Raw genomic sequence first — 21,409 nt, forward strand, 5'->3', positions numbered from 1 at the left:
ATAATTGTAAATCCTTATAGATAGAATTATAAATGTGTGTAAACAATGAAAAATTGAAAACAGAGAGAATATATCCTATGTCCTACTGGATATTAACATATACTACAATGTCATAGTAAAAAAATAGTATCAAAAGCCTACTATATGTCGAACATTGTTAGATGCTAAATATTCAAATAAAAGTAAGACATAGGTCTTGTCCTCCTGATGTTTACAGTTCACAGAAGAGAACACAAGTGACAAGACAACAGCAGGCCCAGATGGATAAGTGCAGATATGGGGCAGGCACAAGATGCTGCTGTCAAGGCATCAGGGAAGGTTTCCTGGGGAACAGATGGCTTCAATGTAGGCAGTCCGAAAACAGGGCAGAAGCCACTTCTCACACAGGAGGAAGCAGGTTCAAAAGTGTGGGCCCAGTGTGGCAATGACATATCTGAAGAACTTCAGCTGCTTCAGTATGAATGGAGCCAGCTTTGGATGTGGAACAGCAGCAAGAAAAAAGGAAAAATAGACAGGCAGGGGCTGGATCATGACAGATGTTACATGCAAAGCTCAGGAGTGGCTACTCTGTCCTGGAAGTCATAAGGAATCATTGAAGGATTTTAAGCAGGAGAGTGATGGCGCATTTGCAATTTAGGAAGATCACTACGGCAACAGTGGGCAGCATGAGTGAAAGAAGTTGGTTCAAGAGGCAAGACTAATAGTGCCTGAACAAAGAGTGAGGAAATGGGCATAGGAGTAAAATGATGGAAGAAGAGGACTTAATTTGATTGACATTAAAGGGATTATTGGTGAGTGATGTCGGTGGCATCCGACTTAGAAAACTCCCAGATAACTCTTATTCCTAGACTGGCCAATGCAATCATCTCTTTTGTGTGTGTGTGTGTAAGTGTGTGTCACTTTTCTAAATTATTTTGATTGACAAAAATTATTTATATTTATCATGTATAATATGTTGTTTTGAAATGTATGTACATCATGGACCGGCTACATCAAGCTAAAGAACTTATGGCTCACCTCACATACTTATTTTTTGTGGTGAGAACACTTAAAATCCACCCTTTTAGCAATTTTCAACAATACATTGTTAGCAACTATAGTCCATGTTATACAATAAAACTCTTAAAATTATTCCTCCAATCTAAATGAAATGTATCTTTTGAAATGTATCCTAAATGAAATGAAATGGATGTATCCTTTGACCAACATCTCCCCAACCCAATGCAAACATCTTGATTCCATTCATTAAAAAGGGTAATGAGAGAAGACAGCCTGACTGAGAGAAGAGACTGAGTTCAGTGTGGGGCTATTGCACTTAGAATGTCTAAAAGTTATCTAAGGAAAAATAATATGTAAACATTTTTGTATGATGGGTGGTCTCAGTAGAGGAGTTTAAGCCAGAGAACTGAGAGTCATCAAGCATAGGTGCAGGTTAGATGAGCTTTTCCAGGAAGAGTGCCAAAAATCAGAAATGCAGGGATCTCAGGGTATGATGAGAGAACATAATAATTAAGAGGAGATTTCAAAGGATGATAAGGAGGATTCAGTAAATAGGAGAAAAATAAGGACAGAGTAGCTCATTAGAAAGAAGTGGATTATGGTGCAAATATTATCAGTAACTCAAGTCAGAGGCACTGACAAGAACCCACTGGATTTGACCTTCTACAGAGGTTTCTGATGGCCGTGATGAGAGGATCCTCAGGGGTGTACTGGAGACAAAAGTCAGAAGCTTAGCTCCAAGTGTGAGGACACAGAGAGAGTGTCTCTAGGGTAGGATGCAGACTGAAGGCAAGGTTGTTTTTTATTAGTTGGTTCATGGTTATGTTGCTTTTTTCCCCCGTAGGTTATAGTGGTACAGGTAGTATTTGGTTACATGAGTAAGTTCTTTAGTGATGATTTGTGAGATTTTGGTGCACCTATCACCTGAGCAGTATCCCTTGCCCCCTCCCACCTTTCCTCTCAGGTCCCCAAAGTCCATTGTATCATTCTTATGCCTTTTCATCCTCTTAGCTTAGCTCCCACATATCAGTGAGAATATATGTTTAGTTTTCCATTCCTGAGTTAGTTCACTTAGAATAATGGTCTCCAATCTCATCCAGGTCGCTGCAAATGCCATTAACTCATTCCTTTTTACGGCTGAGTAGTATTCCATCATATATATATCACAGTTTCTTTACCCACTCGTTGATTGATGGGCATTTGGGTTGGTTCCATGATTTGTGATTGTGAATTGTGCTGCTATAAACACGTATGTGCAAATATCTTTTTCATATAATGACTTATTTTCCTCTGGGTAGATGCCCAGTAGTGGGATTGTTGGATCAAATTATAGTTCCACTTTTAGTTCTTTAAGGAATCTCCTCACTGTTTTCCACAGTGGCTGTACTAGTTTACATTCCCACCAGCAGGGTAGAAGAGTTCCCTGATCACCACATCCACACCAATATCTACTGTTTTTTTATTTTTTTATCATGGCCATTCTTGCAGGAGTAAGGTGGTATCACATTGTGGTTTTGATTTGCATTTCCCTGATCATTAGTGATGTTGAGCATTTTCTTATGTTTCTTGGCCATTTGTATATCTTCTTTTGAGAATTGTCTATGCATGTCCTTAGCCCACTTTTTGATGGGGTTGTTTGTTTTTTCTTACTGATTTGCCTGTGTTCATTGTAGATTCTGGATATTAGTCCTTTGTCAGATGTATAGATTGTGACTACTCTGTGGGTTGTCTGTTTATTCTGCTGATGGTTCCTTTTGCCGTGCAAAAGCTCTTTAGTTTAATTAAGTCTCAACTATTTATCTTTGTTTTTATTGAATTTGCTTTTGGGTTCTTGGCCATGAAATCCCTGCCTAAGCCAATGTCTAGAAGGGTTTTTCCAATGTGATCTTCTAGAGCTTTTATAGTCTCAGGTCTCAGGTTTAAGTCCTTAATCCATCTTGAGTTGATTTTTGTATAAGGTGAGAGATGAGGACCCGGTTTCATTCTCCTACATGTGGATAGCCAATTATCCCAGCACCATTTGTTGAAAAGGGTGTCTTTCCCCACCATATGTTTTTGTTCGCTTTGTCGAAGATCAGTTGGCTGTAAGTATTTGGGTTTATCCCTGGGTTCTCTATTCTGTTCCCTTTGTCTATGTGCCTATTTTTATACCAGTACCATGCTGTCTTGGTGACTATGGCAGGGAACGTGAGCTTTTTCCCCGCAATCCTATACTGGCCCCTTCTACTGCATAATTATTTTCTTCTCTTGAATTTTACATGCTAGTCTTCTATTTACATTTTAACATTTATATAAACAAATGATGCCACTTTTACATTTTCTTTATTAGATTAGGAGGTCGTACAGGATCACATTTATAGGTCTTTAAATTAAGGAGTAATATTCTTTGAAAGTTTATGAAACTATTCAGTATAAACACCACAGAATCAGATGTTTTGGAAAATGTAGGGTCTTTTATGACATTTTTTCATTTCTTCCTCATTCACTGTATAATTTTTAGTCTCATTTTTCCAAAGCAATTACAGATCCGTTGATCTAATTTGACCTTAAGAGCCCTGCTGTAAAGGCAGGTCATATCATCCCCATACTGAAGACAAAGAACTGAAGTCCAAGACAGGCAGTGTCCTTCAAGCTGCATACTTCCATGGTAGTGTAGGTGGTGTGTCCATGCTCCCAGGTGTAAGGCCCCTAGACTGAGCCCTGCTGACCCTGATGACAGTCCTATGGAAGGAGCCAGTATCCCCCGCACATCTCAGGACTCACAGACATGTGGGAGGAAGAAAATATGAATGTGCACTAATCTGAAGCACGGCCTTGAACAAAGGCAAAACAGACTCCAGGCCTCATTTTCAGTTCTGGGATGGATACTCTAATCTCTCTAAATCATGCCACTGAATGACCTTTTACACATTGAGATAGCATTTCTTCCACACCAGGCCATGTCCTGTGGGTGTGTGAGGTGTGGCAGAATTGGGGAAATGATAATCCCTGTAGGTGGGCCAGCAGAATATCTGAGATCACCTTCAGAGCAAAGAAAACACATCATCTCCCCAAAACTCATGACTCTGACTGGTTAAAATGAGTGTCAGTGTTCTCCATCTGTCCTCGTAACAGCATCACTGGCTCTATATTGTCAGATCTTTAATACTAACTTTCTGCCCAGTGAGCAATGACTCATACAAAGCTCAGTGCCCATTGGTTCTTTTCTCAGAGTCTGTCCAATCCTAGGGTCACAGAAGACTGCTTGGGTTCATGGTCTCTAATATTTCAGACAGGAGCTCCCTTTAATGAGTTCTTGTTTTCCTGACTGCAGCTCTCTTCATTCTGCCAACCTTTTCCAACTCCATGATGATCCTGCAGGTTTCAGGGGGCCCCTGGACAGTGGCTCTGACAGCATTACTGATGGTGCTGCTCATATCTGTGGTCCAGAGCAGGGCCACTCCAGGTAAGAGCAGAGCTGCTATTCCTGGAGGGTCTGGCTCAGGGAACAATTCCTAGGGGACTTTCTCTTTATGGAACCAGACTCTGAGACAGCATGTGGGGCTCCTGCCACGGCCTAGTGTCCTTCTATCACAGCTGGAGAATCAAACTCACCTCCTATAGGATAGGTTGCTATCCACCAGGTCTATTCTCTCTCCAGGAACATGGACACAGTAAATAAGGGGAGGTGCTCAGGGGTCAAGTTGCTTGTCTATGGGGAAATGGGGCCAAGAGGTTCAGGATAACCTTGGACAGACAAGGTTTCAGAGAGAGAGGTTGGCAAGTGCAGACTCCTGGGTGTGCTCACATCTGCATCCAACCTTGAGGGGACTCAGGCAGAGAGCCCTTAGCTGGTGTGTCCAGACTACAAGTATCACTGAGGATTCAGTGCTCACAGAGAATGCCTCTCATTCTCCAGGGTGGAGCAGGAGCCAATGCTCCCTGGACAATGAAGGCAAGATGGGAGGGAGGGGGACAGGTTCGAGCCCCTAAAGGCACTCTTGTTGAAGGTATTTCTCCCAGCCTCCCCAGAACTTGGTTAGAGTATTAGGATGGGTTGAAACCTGTCAGAAGAATGAGATAAGGATGTGTGAGTACGTGAAAGAGATTGAGTGTAGGTTATCAGACAGCCAAGAAAGCAGTAACCAAGGGAAAAACCTCTGTCTCCTGCTGTCTCCTTGTGGCTGGTGTAATATTATGGCTTCTATGACCCATTGTTTTTCTCTCAGGATGTTCTTACTTTTCTGGTCCAAATTTACACCAACACCCTGAGAGGAAGGACTGCAGAGTAGGTGTCTTAGTTTTCCACTGACTTCCACCTTTCTGCATAGACCCTCCCTCTGAGACCCTTCCACATCCACCTAGGACACCCCTAGAAAGTGCTGTTCTCATGTCACCTCCTCATTTTCCAGGGTAACAGTATTCGAATCTCCTGAGGACAGCCCCTCAAACCCCAAAGCCCCTCACCTATTACCTCAGGTTCATTGTCCGGGAAAGGGTGGACAAACTGCACTTGTAGTCACAGGGGTGCTGAGAACTAACCAGCAGAATGGCTCAGCCCTGGGAACTGGAGAGGGGTGAGGTTGGGGAGAGAGGAGGCTGGAGCAGCGCTGGTGACACTGAACAGTGTCCAGCAGGAGGTCCATAGCAACAGTGTCCATAGGCAGAGTTGTTTGTAGGATGAGGGGTGGTGTTGGGAAACGCCATGGAAACCCTCAAGGTGCGGGGTAGCAGAAAGCACAGGAGGGAGCGTGATGATGGTGGGCAGTGAACAGGTGGACGGGCAAAGACTGGGTTGAGGTTGGTAGGGGAAATGAGATGAGGCAGTGGAGCCATGTGACAGGAACCGAGGGTGGGTTACCAGAGCTCCCCGTGTAGAATGAATGTCCAATCAAAACCTGCTGGAGGGAGAGCTGGAGCCATAGGGGAGTGGGTAGAGTGGGCAGGGCCAATTCCACAATTCCCTGCATGCTCTTCCAACTCCACACACATCTCCATCCTCAGAGCACAAGAGGAAAGGCACAAGGAGCCAGGCTGTGGCTTAAAGTGAGAGAGGGGAGGGTGGAGAAAAGCTTGGCTGAGACAACACCTAGGGAGCAGGAGATGACACGGCAGGTGAAAAAACCAGACTCCTGGAGGCAACACCCTTTTGTCTCTGACAAGCTTTAAAATGGGCTTTTTACAGCTGAGTTTCTTACCTCACCCCACCCACTACCCCAAGCATTAGGGCCACACTCCCGAGTCCTCCTGTCACACCAGCTGGGCACTTGCAGAAGCTCATTGTGCATTTGAGTCTTTGGGTACTCACTCTTCTGTTAATCTAACTCCTCAAATAAAATCCCTAGCACAAAAGAGAGGGGGGAAGATCCAGTCAGCAAACAGCCAACAAACACTTTTCAACCATTAAGATCTGGTGCCCATGGAAAGTCTTCTTGAGGTTTTCCAGTAGCTCATAAGCTGATCCAGTTCCTCTTTCATATGCATTTATTTAGAATTTTGCTCCTATTCAAACAGGTCACACAGTGAAAAGAGGAAGGGAACTAAGATAGATTGAGCAGTAACAGATACAATACTATGTATTTGACATATGTGAGCTCATTTGGTTCTCACAGCAGTTTTGCAAGGTAAATAGTATTATTACTATTTTGCCTTTCAAGAAATGGAGAGTTAGAAGGTTGTTTCTTGTCCAAGATAACTTAGTAATCAGTCGTAGTGCAAGAACTGGAATCCCTACCTGTGACATGTTCCTTTTCTTACCCATATGGACTCCATTATATCTTTCTGCAATTATATTTTAATATAACCTATTCTGAGTGAGAGATGAATTCACTCAGATCATTGGTTTTCAAATTGTGCTCTGGGTAACTCAATTGTCAAAGATTCCGCAAACAGGATAAAGTTTTCCATATACAAAAAAAAAATGAAGTTTCAAATTCCACCATATACTCATCACTTATATCTGCTTTGCAGGTAAAATTCCCTTTAAAAAGTTAAATGTTGCAAAAGAAAGTTTTGAAATTCTTACTCTTGACTAAAACATGTTCTCTTATTGGTGAATGAGGAAGAGGAACAAAGACTAACAAATTAAAATGAGAGGATACACACTCAGAGTGGGGCACTTGAATAGGGAGGGGCAGACTAAAGGGGCTGGGGGCGATGGGCCTGGGTGTTTAGGGGGCTGGAGCCCAAGGCACTAGGAGAAGAGGCGGGTTAAGATATCTAAAGTCCTGGGATCTTGCCTTAGAGATGACACTGGAAACTACAGGCCGAGTCTACGGTGCCGCTGTGCCCAGCCCCACCCCTTCTCTACTGTCCTCTGCCACCAGCTGTGCATCTTCTATGAGGGGTGAGGTTAATAAACGTGAGTTGCTAATTTGTAGAACATGAAACAGGTGTCCAAAACAAACCTTAATTTGCTGTGTGCAAATCACAGCACCTTAATTTCCCCACTGTGACCAGGAACAGATCAGGTCTGAAGAGGCTCAGACATGTGCTGGGTCATTGCTACTTCTGTATACACATGCACCTGCCGGACACTGCCCATGGTGCTCCCTAGGAAGAACTGCAGGTGGAAAAGGCTGCCACATTTCTTTATGTAAAAATGACACCATCAATGCCTCTAAACCTAAAGGAGTCCAGTCACTTAGCTTTCTGGTTGTTCTGGTGATTTTCATTGATTAAGATATTTTCCAGGTGTTTTGAGATCAAGTCTTTCTACAGCCATGTTTGAAAGTGAAAATTAACTTTCAGGCTATATAGTCTTTCTTATGGCAAACTTCAAGAAGTTTTAAGAAATGCATTTCTGGCCAAGTGCGGTGGCTCACGCCTGTAATCTCAGCACTTTGGGTGGCCGAGGAGGGCAGATCTCGAGGTCAGGAGTTCGAGACCAGCCTGGCCAACATGGTGAAACCCCATCTCTACTAAACATACAAAAATTATCTGGGCGTGGTGGCGCACACCTGTAATCCCAGCTACTCAGGAGGCTGAGGCAGGAAAACTGCTTGAACCCTGGAGGCGGAGGTTGCAGTGAGCTGAGATTGCACCACTGGACTCCAGCCTGGGCGACAGAGTGATACTCTGTAGAAAGAAAGGAAGAAAGGAAGGAAGGAAGGGAGGGAGGGAAGGATACTCCATTGAAAGAAGAAAGAAGGAAGGAAGGAAGGGAGGGAGGGAGGGAGGAATGCATGGAAATGCATTTCTGCATTTCCAGCATGCAGAGATGTCCAGCATGCAGAACAGCAAGAGCAACTTGAGGTATTCTCAAGAAACTGGCAGAGAAGAGAGAGAACCTAGCTGTAGAAAGGGAAAGAAGGAATGGAGGGCTTCCTGGAGGAGGTGGCATTTGAGCCAGGACTGACATCAGGATGGAAATGTCAGGCAGGGAGTTGGGTAGGGGGAGCAGCTCTGCCCTCCAGGTCCCCAACTCCTCCTATCCCTACTGTTTCTCTGCCTGAGGGACCCTCCCCCTGATGAGATTCTGCTCCTCCCTGAGACGTGAAATGTCTCCCCCTCCTCCTCCAGCCGCCAGCAGAAAGGGCTGCTTTCCCTTCAGCGTGCGCCCCTCCCTAATGATCACTCAGCCACCCTGAGCAGTGAGTCTCATTCTTTTCAGTAAATCCTCTCGCTGCGTGGTGAGAAAACTGATGCCTGGAGTCTGTGACCTGCCTAGGACCACAGAACTCGGTAGTAGGAAAAATCGTATTTTTAAATCCAGTCCTGAGTGGGAAGATTTGAGGAAATAGCTAATATTGAGGAGGGGGGTGTTGTTGGGAGTGGCACCACCCCCATCTCTCCCTGCTCTTCACAGAGAATTCCGTCTACCAGGAACGGCAGGAATGCTATGCGTTCAATGGGACTCAGCGCGTTGTGGACGGGCTCATCTACAACCGGGAGGAATACGTGCATTTTGACAGCGCAGTGGGGGAGTTCCTAGCAGTGATGGAGCTGGGGCGGCCCATAGGCGAGTACTTCAATAGCCAGAAGGACTTTATGGAACGGAAGCGAGCCGAGGTGGACAAGGTGTGCAGACACAAGTACGAGCTGATGGAGCCACTCATCCGGCAGCGCCGAGGTGAGGGCTGTGAACCAGGGCTCCTGGGGCAGCCGTGGGGGCCGGGCCCAGGGAGTAGGGGCAGCCGGGCCGGCCTAAGGGACCTTAGTGCCAGGAGGGAAGGGGACTTTGAGCTGGGGATTGATGGGAGGAGCCCAACCGGAGCTTGTCAGGAGGGTGAGCACGGAGATTGGGCTGAGCATGGAGTGAGGAGGATGGAGGGAGAGAGACCCCTGGGACTTCATCAGGCCTGGCAGCTGACTGCATGTGGGGTGAGGGGAAACGAGGCCACAGGACATCGTGCAGGGGTGCGGTGTGGAGATGAAGGTGGAGATGGCACAGCAGGCCACGCAGAGAAGAAACCTGCAGGGAGATGGCCGGGTTTGAGGTGCTTGAGGGGCCAGATGGGTGGTCTGATGGGCAGGTGAGAGAAGAGTTTGCAGCGGGGGAGGGGCCTGGCCTACATGAGACCACCCAGGGAGAGGGGACCCATCGGGAGGAGCATAGGACTGGATCCTGGGAACTGGACATTGTGATTTTGTAACGGCTCCATTGTCTGGGGTATATACCCTGGTTCTTTGTCATGGCCGAGAAAATTCACGACACAGACACACGTGAGGAGTGGGTTTGGGAGTGGAAAGTTTAATAGAAAAGAAAAGAGAGAAAAAATCCTTCCTCATGCTGAGAAAGTGGGTTGCCCAAAAGAGGGTCTGCGGTTTGTGGTGGAATGCAGTCGGTTTTGTACAGAGGTTGAGGAGGCGGTGATTGATTTACACAGCGCTCAGGGAATTGGTTTGACCAGTTGTGTCATTTACATAGCCCACGAAAAGACTGACTCTCCCACCCTAGTCTTTTATTATTCAAATACGGTCTCCAACTGGTGGTGGACAGGATACCTGTACATGTGGTTTTACCTGGAGGCTGCCATGACACCTGTAAACGTGGTGACAAGGAAAAGAGAGTGGGAACCGCCATATTGGATGTACCTGACTTCCAGGTACAGCTGCCAGCATTTACATATAAAAGCTTCTAGTTTGCATATCTATGCCTGAGTTTTCAGGCTGCTTCCTGTTAGAGAAGAAATGGTTTGGGGCTGCTTTTTATTAAAGGAAAATTCCACTGAGAATTTTTACCCTTTCTAGCTGCCTAAAAATAATTTCTTAATAACTCCTGTATTATTTCCTCCCTCAGGAGACGTAACCATAACTGCTGTTAGGGGGTGTTGGACGACGATTCTTTCTGGCTACTTCCTGCTGAAAAGGGGCGTCGTGTCGGGGGGCTGCAGTTGGGGCTCCTCCTGAGGTTGATCTAAGGCTTCTTGGAAGAATGGCATGTCCATGTGTGGCTTTGTTTGCAGCACCATTTGAAGTTTGATTGCTTCTAGGCAAAAAGAGATAAATTTTACAAGAAGGTTTAAAATATAGGGTTACCATATGAGTATTAAGATTACCACCTATAGACTGTAACTATGGCAGTAGAGTTTGATACCTGTTACACCAATGGATTGTAATACTGGTTTGTCTCCACTAGATGTCGCTGTACATTACCAGAAACGTTAATATAAAAGCATCATTTCCTTTGAGAAAACATGTTTCCCCCTTGACTTGCTATTAGGGCATAATTTTTGGTTTAGGCCATTCTTTATAACTTATGATATGATTGGGAGAAAAACGTTATTGGGTGGCTAAAATAACTTTGGTGTTAATCTTGGCAATTCCTTTCCTTTAATTATTAAATTTCTTAATTATTAAATTCTTTCATGACTTTCACAGACCCTCTTACAATGTACTCAACTTTCTGACTTGTCTTAAACAACCAGTCATTTCCTTTTAGGACAAGAATTTACTATACAAGATCCTTTCTTATATAAAATCCCTTTATTTGTAACCTTCTTTCCATAGCTTAGAGTGCACCATTTACCAATCTTCAATAAAAAAGTCCTATCAAACTTAGTGATAGTAAAATTTTCATGCTTACTTCTTGTCTGTAACTATTACTCCTGCTATAAGCAAAACAAACTTGACCAAATCCTTCCTGCAATTATTAATTCTGTCATAAAGATGATAATTAGGCAAAATATTACAGGAATTAGAATTTTACAACCAGAATTCCACATTGTGGGTGCCACAGTATACAGTTCTATTGCAAATAACAGCATGATGATAACAATTCCCACAAAAGTGACGTAGTAAATAATTTCCATTTAAAACTTTACTTGCCAAGATATAATGTTTCCCTTTGGGGATTTACAAAGTAACAAATGCAGTCCCATGTATAATTAAAATCTCTCTGCAAATATGCATTAAAAAAAAGTTCTAATACTGAGCAGTGAATTTTGAGAGGAAAGGTAGAAATGATAAAGAGTACCTGGTGAGGTAGGATTGGCGCTAAGGCGAGTAGCCCTCACTCATTTACTTACCTTTTATGATTTTCAGCTTAAGATCTTCTATATCTCCACATTGATATTCAGGATGTTCCTCTGGGCTGTCAAAGGTTGCTCCCTCAGCTTTTCAGGCTTTGACTTGAGTGTGATATATTCAGAGGTTGATACTTGTAACTTTTACTGCTGGGGGGGTTGAAAGAAGAATTGTGTAGGGCCCTTCCCAGCCTGGCTTAGGGAAGGAGAGAGAGATGAGTTTTCACCAATACCAAATTTTCTGGTGGTCCAATTTCCTGGGGTTGGCCTTTGGCTAGTTGTGTCAATTTCTGTTGGAAGTGAGCTAGAGAGGTTACATTTTTAAACAACTTAGAGGTTTTCTGCCTGAAAACAATCTCTGAGCACACTGATGATAAGTTTTATCCTTTCCTATGTGAAAAAGCTTGGTGAAGGATTTTAAGGACTTTCCATTGACTGGAGGCCAGTAAATGGAGTTTGTCATCCTCAGGGCTGGAATACCCTTAAGAAGTGGCTTATTTTATTTCTGCAGGGGAATACTGAGGTTTAATTTCTTTTATGGAGGCTTCCGAGATTAAAAGGGCTTGAAGTGTGTTAATGCCTTGAGGCTTCCCTGCCGCCTGCTTAGCTCCCTGCTCAGCTAACCTATTTCCTTTGGCTACTTCATCTGTTCCTCTTTGATGTTCCCTATAATACATTACTGCTATTTTTCGTGAAAGGAAAACTGAGGATAATAACCTGTTAATTTCCTGGTGATATTTTATAGGAGATGCTTTAGTGGTAAAAGAATGTCTTTCCTTTTAAATAGCAGCATGAGCATGGAGAACTAAGAAAGCATACTTGGAGTCAGTGGAAATGTTAGCTATCTTTCCCCTGCTTAATTTAAGTGCACTTGCAAGAACTATTAGTTCAGCTAATTGAGTGCTTGTGTCTGGGGAGAGACATTAGAGTGACTATTGCTTGTCCTGCCTTATGTATTTCTTGCTTTACCTGCTGTTTGTTAGCTAAAGTCTCCCCTAGAGGACAGTAATCCTGCTACATTATGTGGGGTGTAAACAGTTAAATTATTTCCTAGGGTTAATTTGGAGGCTTTTTTGACTAGTAGAGCCACCGTGGCAATGGCTTGGAAGCATGTGTAAACAATAGGTCCTCCTAACTGCAATTAGGAGGTTGAGAAAAATATTGGAATAGAGTTTTTCCTGAGACACCCCTTACACTCACGCTATGGGAAGAAGAGAGGCCTGGATTAAAGAGGAGAAAAGAGAGAGAGACTGGCTCGAGTGTTTAGAAGGAGGTCTAGTTTCCTTCCTTCAATTTCCAGAATCACCTGGTGGCTCCCGTGCTGTAATGGCAGTTTGAGCCACTGGAGCTGGGGTTTGAGCCCCAGGACCCATCAGTCCTGCTGGACCATCTGTGAGACTGGTTCTGACTCCAGTGACCTCCGTCTCCGGGGGCAGTTTGATTTCCAGTGGTCTCCACCACAGGCTGGATAGGGTTGAGGTGGCTTCCTCTTGCTGTTTGGGCACTCCTTTTTAAAATGCCCTGGCTTGCCACACTGATAGCAACTAGCGGATGCACCTCAGAAATCTTGGACTTTGCAAGCTTGCAAAGCTGCTACTAGAGCCTCTGTCTTTCTCCTGAGCTTTCTCTCTTTCTGGGGGGCCTCCTCCTGGTCCCTATTATAAGTGGCCACCCTCAGGAGGTTCCCCAAGGTGCTATCTGGTCCTATAGCGTGCTTCTACAGTTTCCTTCTAATATCAAGAGCTGCCTGTGTAATAAACTTGTCTTTACAATGAGCCATCCCTTGACTGAATTAGGGGCTAAGGAAGTGTGCTCTATTAGTGCCTCTCTCAGCCTTTCCATAAAAGCTGCAGGATTCCCATCTGGCTTTTGGTCTATCATAGACAGTTGAGAGGAATTAAGAGGTCAGGCCTTAGTTCTTCATAGACCCTCTAATATGCATATTTTAAAAATGCTTCCATTTCTATTCATTTGCAGAGCTACTGGGGTCCCAGTTGGGGTTGTCGAGAGGAACTGCTTCCCTTCCTACTGGGAATGGTGTTTCTGTTATTTTTTTCACTTTCCCTATCTCTTTTCTTCCCTTTTGGTGTATTATAGGAGATATGTTGCTCATCTCCAAAATTATCTGCTGCCTGCAGAGCTGCCTGCTTTTCAACTGCGGTTAGAGTTTGGTTTAGGAGCAGCATAACATCCTTCCATGTGAGGTGAAACACCTGAGTTAAATTCTGGACAGCTTCTATATACCTATTGGGGTTATCAGAAAATTAGCATAAGTCTTCCTTTGTTTGCCTAAGGTCCTGTAATGAAAAGGGAGCTTGAGGTTGAAGGGGGCCAGCCCCTCCACACCTGTGGGTATTTCTCATCAGGTGGGACGAGAGACTGAGAAAAGAAATAAGACACAGAGACAAAGTATAGAGAAAGAACAGTGGGCCCAAGGGACCAGTGCTCAGCATACAGAGGACCTGTGCCGGCTCTGGTCTCTGAGTTCCCTCAGTATTTATTGATCACTATCTCTATCATCTCAGTGAGGGGGATGTGGCAGGACTATAGGGTAATGGTGGGGAGAGGGTCAGCAGGAAAACATGTGAGCAAAGGACTCTGTGTCATAAATAAGTTTAAGGAAAGGTGCTGTGCCTGGATGTGCACATAGGCCAGATTTATGTTTGACTTTACACAAACATCTCAGTGCAGTAAACAGCAGTATTACCACCAGCATGTCTCACCTCCAGCCATAAGGCGGCTTTCTCCTATCTCAGTAAATAGAATGTATGATCGGGTTTTACACCGAGACATTCCATTCCCAGGGATGAGCAGGAGACAGATGCCTTCCTCTTATCTCAACTGCAAAGAGGCCTTCCTCTTTCACTAATCCTCCTCAGCACAGACCCTTTATGGGAATCAGCCTTGGGGACGGTCAGGTCAGGTCCCTTCCCACAAGGCCATGTCTCAGGCTGTCTCTCTCAGTGGGGGGAACCCTTGGACAATACCCAGGCTTTCTTGGGCAGAGGTCCCTGCGGCCTTCCACAGTGCATTGTGTCCCTGGGTACTCGAGACTGGAGAATGGCAATGACTTTCACCAAGCATACTGCCTACAAACACATTTTTAACAAAGCACACCCTGCACAGCCCTAAATCCATTAAACCTTGAGTCAATACAGCACAGGTTTTCTGCGAGCACAGGGTTGGGGCTAGGGTTACAGATTAACAGCATGTCAAGGCAGAAGAATTTTCCTTAGTACAGATCAAAATGGAGTTTCTTATGTCTTCCTTTTTCTACATAGACACAGCAACAGTCTGATTTCTCTTTACTTCCCCCATATTGGCAACCCTAAATAAGGGGAATTCTCAGATGGTTCCCTTGGAAATTGCCTTTCTAATTCTGGGGGATTATTTTCTATAGGCCTACCTGATATGCCTATTTAAAAAGCTGGGCTGATCTTACAGTGCTTGCAAAGGTTTAGTAAAAAAGCCATGCCCTTGTGCAAAAGAAAATGAGTCACTTTTCTCTTCAAAGTCCTGAGGTTAAAGGAGTTCCAGTGTTTCAGAGTGCACTCCAGAGGGGTGCAAGCTGAAGCTGGTCTGTCACCCATCTAGAAAAAGAAGTGAGAATAAAAGTATCCTTTCGTCCCCATTCTTTCATTGTGACCCAGGGTGGAGGAGAAGACAGTGGAAGTGTCCTCCCTACTGTTTTCTCTCCTTGGTTCCTGGGTCCTGGCAACGTGTTAAATGTACCACCCATGGTTGTAGGCGTGGTCCTCCAAGCCGTGGAACTGGATAAACTAAGTGATGGGATTAACCATACTTTACCCACACAACCTTAGCTTATCCACCTTATGTGATCCCCTTTGACGTCCTAAATTTGTGTGATCTGCCTGGCTCCCAGAAAAATGGATCTCCAGAGAGACTATGTCATCTTTGGGTAGGCTCCTTTAACGGAGGCAGTGTGCTAGATTGCCTGCCATTACGGCCCATGCTAAGACATTTACCCTTAGCAAAATGGCTCTGGTTAACTTCCGAACCTAAAATCCCCTTGCTAATTAAGTACTATCCTAATTGGAGACGGAAATGAACGTAGGAACCTAATGGCTGTTTTTCCTGCTGATGAGACAGTATCAGAACTAAAATTTCACTACAGAGGACATTTTACTCCAAACTGTTGAAGACAGTGCTTTCTCGTTCACAGAAGAGGCTTTTCTAGCGGCACGAAAGAATTTGGAAGCGGCAGTGTTACGGTAAAAAACCGACAAGGTGCCTGATGAAGAGGATTTTTATTTCCACTAGGTGGTGCTGTTGGCTTAGCACTACCATGTGCTCGCCAGAGAGGATAGAGAGTAACAGTTACTGCCTGTGGCATTTGCCGATCTTCCCTAACAGGAGTGTTTCCCTGAACTGTAAAACTTCCCGCAAATTGCACACACAGAGAGAGAGGACAGGAGACATAGTGACCACGGATACAAAGGAAAGGAAAATTTTGCAACGGGTTAGCTGGAGATCCATTACCAACACCTGGACAGGCTGTCGGAGGCTGCGTTCAGTCCAGAAGCCTTTGAATAACACCAGGGTGTGCCCTGGCCAGAAATTTTCAGTTGCCCCAAGACTTTCCCAGCCTCATGCGATGGTGAAGTTCTCCATGAAAGGAAACTGGTATGAAGAGATTCTTGAGATTAAAGAACAGATTTGACGTTTGCTCTATACTCACCACTCCGATGTTTCTATCTTCCATTCTGATTTGGATCCCGGATGAGCTCCCAAAATGAAACAGCTCCACTGTCTAGGGTATATACCCTGGTTCTTTACCATAGCCGAAAAGAATTCACAGCACGGACACACACAAGGAGTGGGTTTAGGAGCGGAAAGTTTAATAGAAAAGAGGAGTGAGAGGAAAAGCTTCCTAATGCTGATAAGGCAGGTCACCCAAGAGAGGGTCTCCTGTTTCTGGTGGAAAGCAATTGGTTTTGTACAGAGGCTTGAGGAGGCAGTGATTGATTTACATAGGGCTCAGGGGATTGGTTTGACCAGGTGTGTCATTTACATAACCTGCAAAAAGACTGGCCTTCCCACCCTAGTATTTTATTATACAAATGCGGCCTCCACCTGGTGGCGGCCATGATACCTGTACACGTGCTTTAACCTGGAGGCTGCCTTGACACCTGTAAACGTAGAAGGGAAAGAGGGTGAGAATAGCCATATTGAATTACCTGACTTCCAGGAACAGCTGCCAGCATTTACATAAAAGCTTCTAGTTTGCATATCTATGCCTGAGTTTTCAGGCTGCTTTCTGTTAGAGAAAAAATGGCTTGGGGCTGCTTTTTATTAAAGGAAAATTCCACCCAGAACTTTTACCCTTTTTAGCTGCCTAAAAATAATCTCTTAATAACTCGTGTATTAATTTGGCCAAGAGAGAAATCCCGTGAAGGAGACCAAAAAGCACCAGTGAGCCTCTCACTAAACAAGGACCTTTGTCCTAGAGAAAGAGGAAAGAATGAAGGGGGAGGAGGAGGAGGCTCAGGAGGTCACACCATTGATCCCTCTGTTCCTGGGAAAGTGAAAGGAAGGTCATCTGATAAGAGGGAGAAGATGCACACATTGAGTAAGGATGAGGAGAGTGACATGGGTTTAGGAAAGTTGCTGGCGTAATTGGTTGAGAGAGGTGTCCAAATAAAAGTAATACAATTTGCAAAATCTGTCACTAAGACTTCATAGAGGCCCAAATCAGCGACATGGCAGCATTTTCTTTCATGGTAATCAGCTGCCAGATTGCAGAGACCCCCTGATGCCAGACTAAGGAGTGTGGATTTCTCCTCTAGGCCAGCAGGTCCCCAACCTCACTGCTCAGAAGACTCTCCTTGAGATCCTCTGTGAAGCAAAGATTCCCCCAGACTCACTGCCTAGAGATTCAGATTCCCTAGGTGGGGAGGTCTGGAGATCTGTGTTTTTAATCAGCTCCCAAGTGATTCCCATGTAACCAGATAAGTGTCAGAACACTGAAGATTTTTGAAAATCTTCAGAAATCTTAAAATGACAAGGCTGGAGGCCGGGCGCGGTGGCTCACGCCTGTAATCCCAGCACTTTGGGAGGCCGAGGCGGGTGGATCATGAGGTCAGGAGATCGAGACCATCCTGGCTAACAAGGTGAAACCCCGTCTCTACTAAAAATACAAAAAATTAGCCGGGCGCGGTGGCGGGCGCCTGTAGTCCCAGCTACTCGGGAGGCTGAGGCAGGAGAATGGCGTGAGCCCGGGAGGCGGAGCTTGCAGTGAGCCGAGATTGCGCCACTGCAGTCCGCAGTCCGGCCTGGGCGACAGAGCGAGACTCCGTCTCAAAAAAAAAAAAAAAAAAAAAAAAAAAAAATGACAAGGCTGGAAATCTGTTTTCAGAAGACTGTGAAGTCAGTTGGAGAGAGCAGGAACCAGAGGCAGGGAGATGAGATAAGAAACTGCTATTATTGTCCAGGGAAATCATAATAAGGGCATGAATTAGAATAAAGAAAAACACAGGGGTAGGGGAGACGGAGGAAAGAGGAGGATAGAAGTTCTGGCCATTCCAGTGTGGATGCCCACCCAAATCTAGAATTAACTGAGCAAAGGCAACTAGAACAAACAGGAATCCTTGCCTTGGTGAAATATATTTGAACTGGGTCAGAAATGAGGCCACTGGGTATCAAGCCTTAGCTGCAGCGCCCCCTGGAGGTCTCTGATGTGCTCCAGGCTGACCAGCTCCCGTCAAAGAAGATGGAGCAAAGTGCTTCTCATGGAATGTTCTGGGACCTTAAAACAGACAACCATATATCCCATGACTTTCATGCTTCCCAGGACACCTATGGGGAAGAAGTTCCACTTAATCTACAGTTGGGATTCAGACATGGGCTGACCAGTCTGATGGATGTTGAGTTTATGGAGGTGGTTGAAGTAGAACGAGAGCCAAGTGCCTCTGAAATAAAATCACATCGAGGGAAGAGGCTGTGAATGTGAATAATCCTGGACACAAGGCAAAAATGCCATAGGGAGTAAGGGTTGGGGGTTAGTTAAAGACTGTTCATTTACCTGGCCCAGGCCCATGTCAGTGTATTTGTGTTCTCAAGAACAGAGTAAATAAGGACCTAGAAGCTCTGATTTGGAACATTCCTGTAATTGAGCTGTTCTCTAGGGGCAGTTGGCCCTTTTCTGCCTTCTGTGGAGGAAAAGGGTACTAGTGGCTGAGGTCCAAAGGAAAAGCTGCAGGTGGTAGCGTGGAAATTGATCTGTAAGCGGCAGAAAAAGAGGGGGCAAAAATAGAGAGGTGCCAAGGCACAGCCAACACCTGGTTATCTGAGAACCTCAATGGATGTGACAACACAGTGCAGAGGAGGAACTTAGGGAAAAGGATGGGATTTCTACTATTTAAGCATGTAGGGGCTCAGGATATTATGTAAATAGGACGATTTTGAGTGTTTGTAGGCGAGGCCAAAAAATCCATAGGTTACTTGCAGAATAAGTCACGTCAAGCTCACTTTATTTTCTTGATATATTTATGAAATATAGTTATTGGATTAATAGACCATGAGAATGTTGTTTATATATATATTAATTTCAAGAAATCATTTGAGCAAATTTTTCATCTTTTGCATCAGGATAGAGCACTCAAAAGATAAGGTAGTGTCGCTGCTGATTAAATATTCTTTGTCCAAAGGCTGTTAATCAGTGGCTGATAGATAAGATTTCTTTTAAATGTGCTACAAACTGGTAAGTTTGTGTGCCTCCTATTCTTCTCAATACTATTTCTATAGTTTCAATACTCCCCTTATCTGCTGACCTAATCACATCATTCCTACTTTTTTTTTTTTTTTTTTTTTTTTTTTTGAGATGGAGTTTCACTCTTGTTGTCCAGGCTGGAGTGCAATGGTGGGATCTTAGCTCATGCAACCTCTGCCTCCGGGGTTCAAGCGATTCTCCTGCCTCAGCCTCCTGAGTAGCTGGGATTACAGGCATGCACCACCACACCCAGCTAATTTTGTATTTTTAGTAGAGACAGGGTTTCTCCATGTTAGTCAGGCTGGTCTCGAACCACCTGCCTCAGCCTCCCAAAGTGCTGGGATTACAGGTGTAAGCCACTGCGCCTGGCCATCATTCCTATTTTCAACATCTAGAAATCAATTCCATAATGAGCATGTCTAAGAAATAATAATCTCAAATGCTATTCCACTTTTCCACTTCGCCACTCCTAGTCCAGCCTAGGGTGAACATCTCCCCTCCAAGAAGGAGCCCCAGCAGCACCACGACCTGCTTGTCTACCACGTGACAGATTTCTACCCAGACAGCATTCAAGTCCGATGCTTCCTGAATGGACAGGAGGAAACAGCTGGGGTCGTGTCCACCAACCTGATCCGTAATGGAGACTGGACCTTCCAGATCCTGGAGATGCTGGAAATGACCCCCCAGCAGGGAAACATCTACACCTGCCAAGTGGAGCACCCCAGCCTGGACAGTCCTGTCACCGTGGAGTGGAGTGAGGGTCTGATGACCCTCTAGACTCCACCTCTGAAGAGCAGGGGACTCTCTGGCTCTGGGGTCCACTCATCTGGTTTTATGTGTCTATACCCTGGGACCATGTCCGACCCCATTTTTCTTCTATAGAAGACACTGAGTGTAGTTTTAACCTGGGGACAATGGAGACTTGCCTGCCCCCGGCCTAGGAGGTCCTAAGGATTCATAGTTCCTCTCCTTGTCCAAGAATCTAGGGATGCAGACACCTTCCTGAACTGACGTTACACATGGGAACTGTTGTCTTCCTTCAGCCTTTTAGCTTATTCTAAGTTATTTTGAGAGGCAACTAATTGAATCTGAATTTGTCTGTTGTTGAGGTCACACCCTCTGTTCTAGAATTGAGAGAGTGACTGTTTCTCAGTTTCCTGTCATGCAAGGTGTATTCCCCTCGCTCTCCTCGTGCCAATATTCTGCATCAGGCTGCAGGATCTCAGACAGGACATGAGCAGGGGTGCAGCTGCTGGAGGTGACTCTGAACCTGAGCCTGTTCTTCCTAGAGGCACAGTCTGATTCTGTGCAGAGCAAGATGCTGACAGGAGCCAGGGGCTTCATGCTGGGGCTCATCATCTGTGGAGTGGACATCTTCACGCACAGAAGGAGGAAGAAAGGTGAGAAATCCTGTGAGGTGACCGATACCCACCTTTCTCCTGACTTGCTCACCCTTCTTCCATGATGAGGGGCTGAGACAAAAAAGCAATGCCAGAGAGCTTGCTGAAATCACATAGTCAGGAAACAAAGACAGCTTCTAAGGAGAGAGGAATCCCAGCCTGGCATCTTAATGCAGCCAGATGCATGAGGTCCCAGTTACTCAGGCTCCTGCAGAGCGTCCATTGAGTGATGGACAATGGAAGTATGATGGAAACGTTTCTCTAATTGTCTGAGGTGGTTTCAGTAGCTGAATACATTCTCTTTCTTCCTTTCATTTCAGTTCAACAAGGATCTGCATAAACAGGCAATATTCCTGCTTTGATTTCCTTGTTGGGGGAGTTACAGGAGGACATAAGTCCTTTCTGTACATTGTGACACTGAGGCTCCTCTAGGAAGAGAGTCTCAGGCCTGAACCCCTGTTTCAACCTCAGCCCTGGGGTGAGTGGGGAAAGAGCATTGCATGGCTCCATTGCTAAAGGAAGCTCAGATCAACTCTATTCTTTATCAGCCTGAGATTCAGCCTCTCACCGTTATTTTTCTCTCCTGGGACTTAAAGGAAGGGGGCCAGCAACCTGGGATTACTGTTTTTTACCTCCACAGGGTTGCTGACCTTGCCTAAAAGACTAATGTACCTTGGAACAAGCATTTTCTGTTTCTTTAGTCCCAGTACCTGCTTCGAGGACAGACCCCCAGCCTCCCAAGAGGATGCTGCTGCTGAGTAGTTGCACTGAAGCCAGTTTCTATCATTCTGTTCCTGGATTCAATGCATGATTTCTCTCATGGGGCCTCCAACCAA

At 45.1% G+C, this 21,409-nt stretch overlaps 1 pseudogene across 1 annotated transcript, besides 2 other annotated features; it reads left to right on the forward strand.

Moving 5' to 3' along the window:
* The first annotated feature begins 4,344 nt into the window (after nt 1–4,344).
* On the forward strand, nt 4,345–20,942 carry HLA-DPB2 (major histocompatibility complex, class II, DP beta 2 (pseudogene); annotated as a pseudogene). Its single transcript, NR_001435.2, has 5 exons — nt 4,345–4,444; nt 8,786–9,049; nt 19,647–19,927; nt 20,463–20,573; nt 20,894–20,942. The product of NR_001435.2 is annotated as a major histocompatibility complex, class II, DP beta 2 (pseudogene) (transcript).
* Nucleotides 8,408–9,010: an enhancer, noted in NCBI's record as "H3K27ac-H3K4me1 hESC enhancer chr6:33084356-33084958 (GRCh37/hg19 assembly coordinates)". NCBI's record gives its function as "activates a minimal SCP1, AML or CMV promoter by ChIP-STARR-seq in naive H9 embryonic stem cells {active_cell/tissue: H9 hESC(naive)}" and the evidence as "EXISTENCE:reporter gene assay evidence [ECO:0000049][PMID:30033119]".
* Nucleotides 9,614–10,216: an enhancer, noted in NCBI's record as "OCT4-NANOG-H3K27ac-H3K4me1 hESC enhancer chr6:33085562-33086164 (GRCh37/hg19 assembly coordinates)". NCBI's record gives its function as "activates a minimal SCP1, AML or CMV promoter by ChIP-STARR-seq in primed H9 embryonic stem cells {active_cell/tissue: H9 hESC(primed)}" and the evidence as "EXISTENCE:reporter gene assay evidence [ECO:0000049][PMID:30033119]".
* Nucleotides 20,943–21,409: the final 467 nt, after the last annotated feature.

The sequence above is a fragment of the Homo sapiens genome, chromosome 6 (assembly GCF_000001405.40).
Source record: "Homo sapiens chromosome 6, GRCh38.p14 Primary Assembly".
In the NCBI taxonomy this organism is placed as follows: domain Eukaryota; kingdom Metazoa; phylum Chordata; class Mammalia; order Primates; family Hominidae; genus Homo; species Homo sapiens.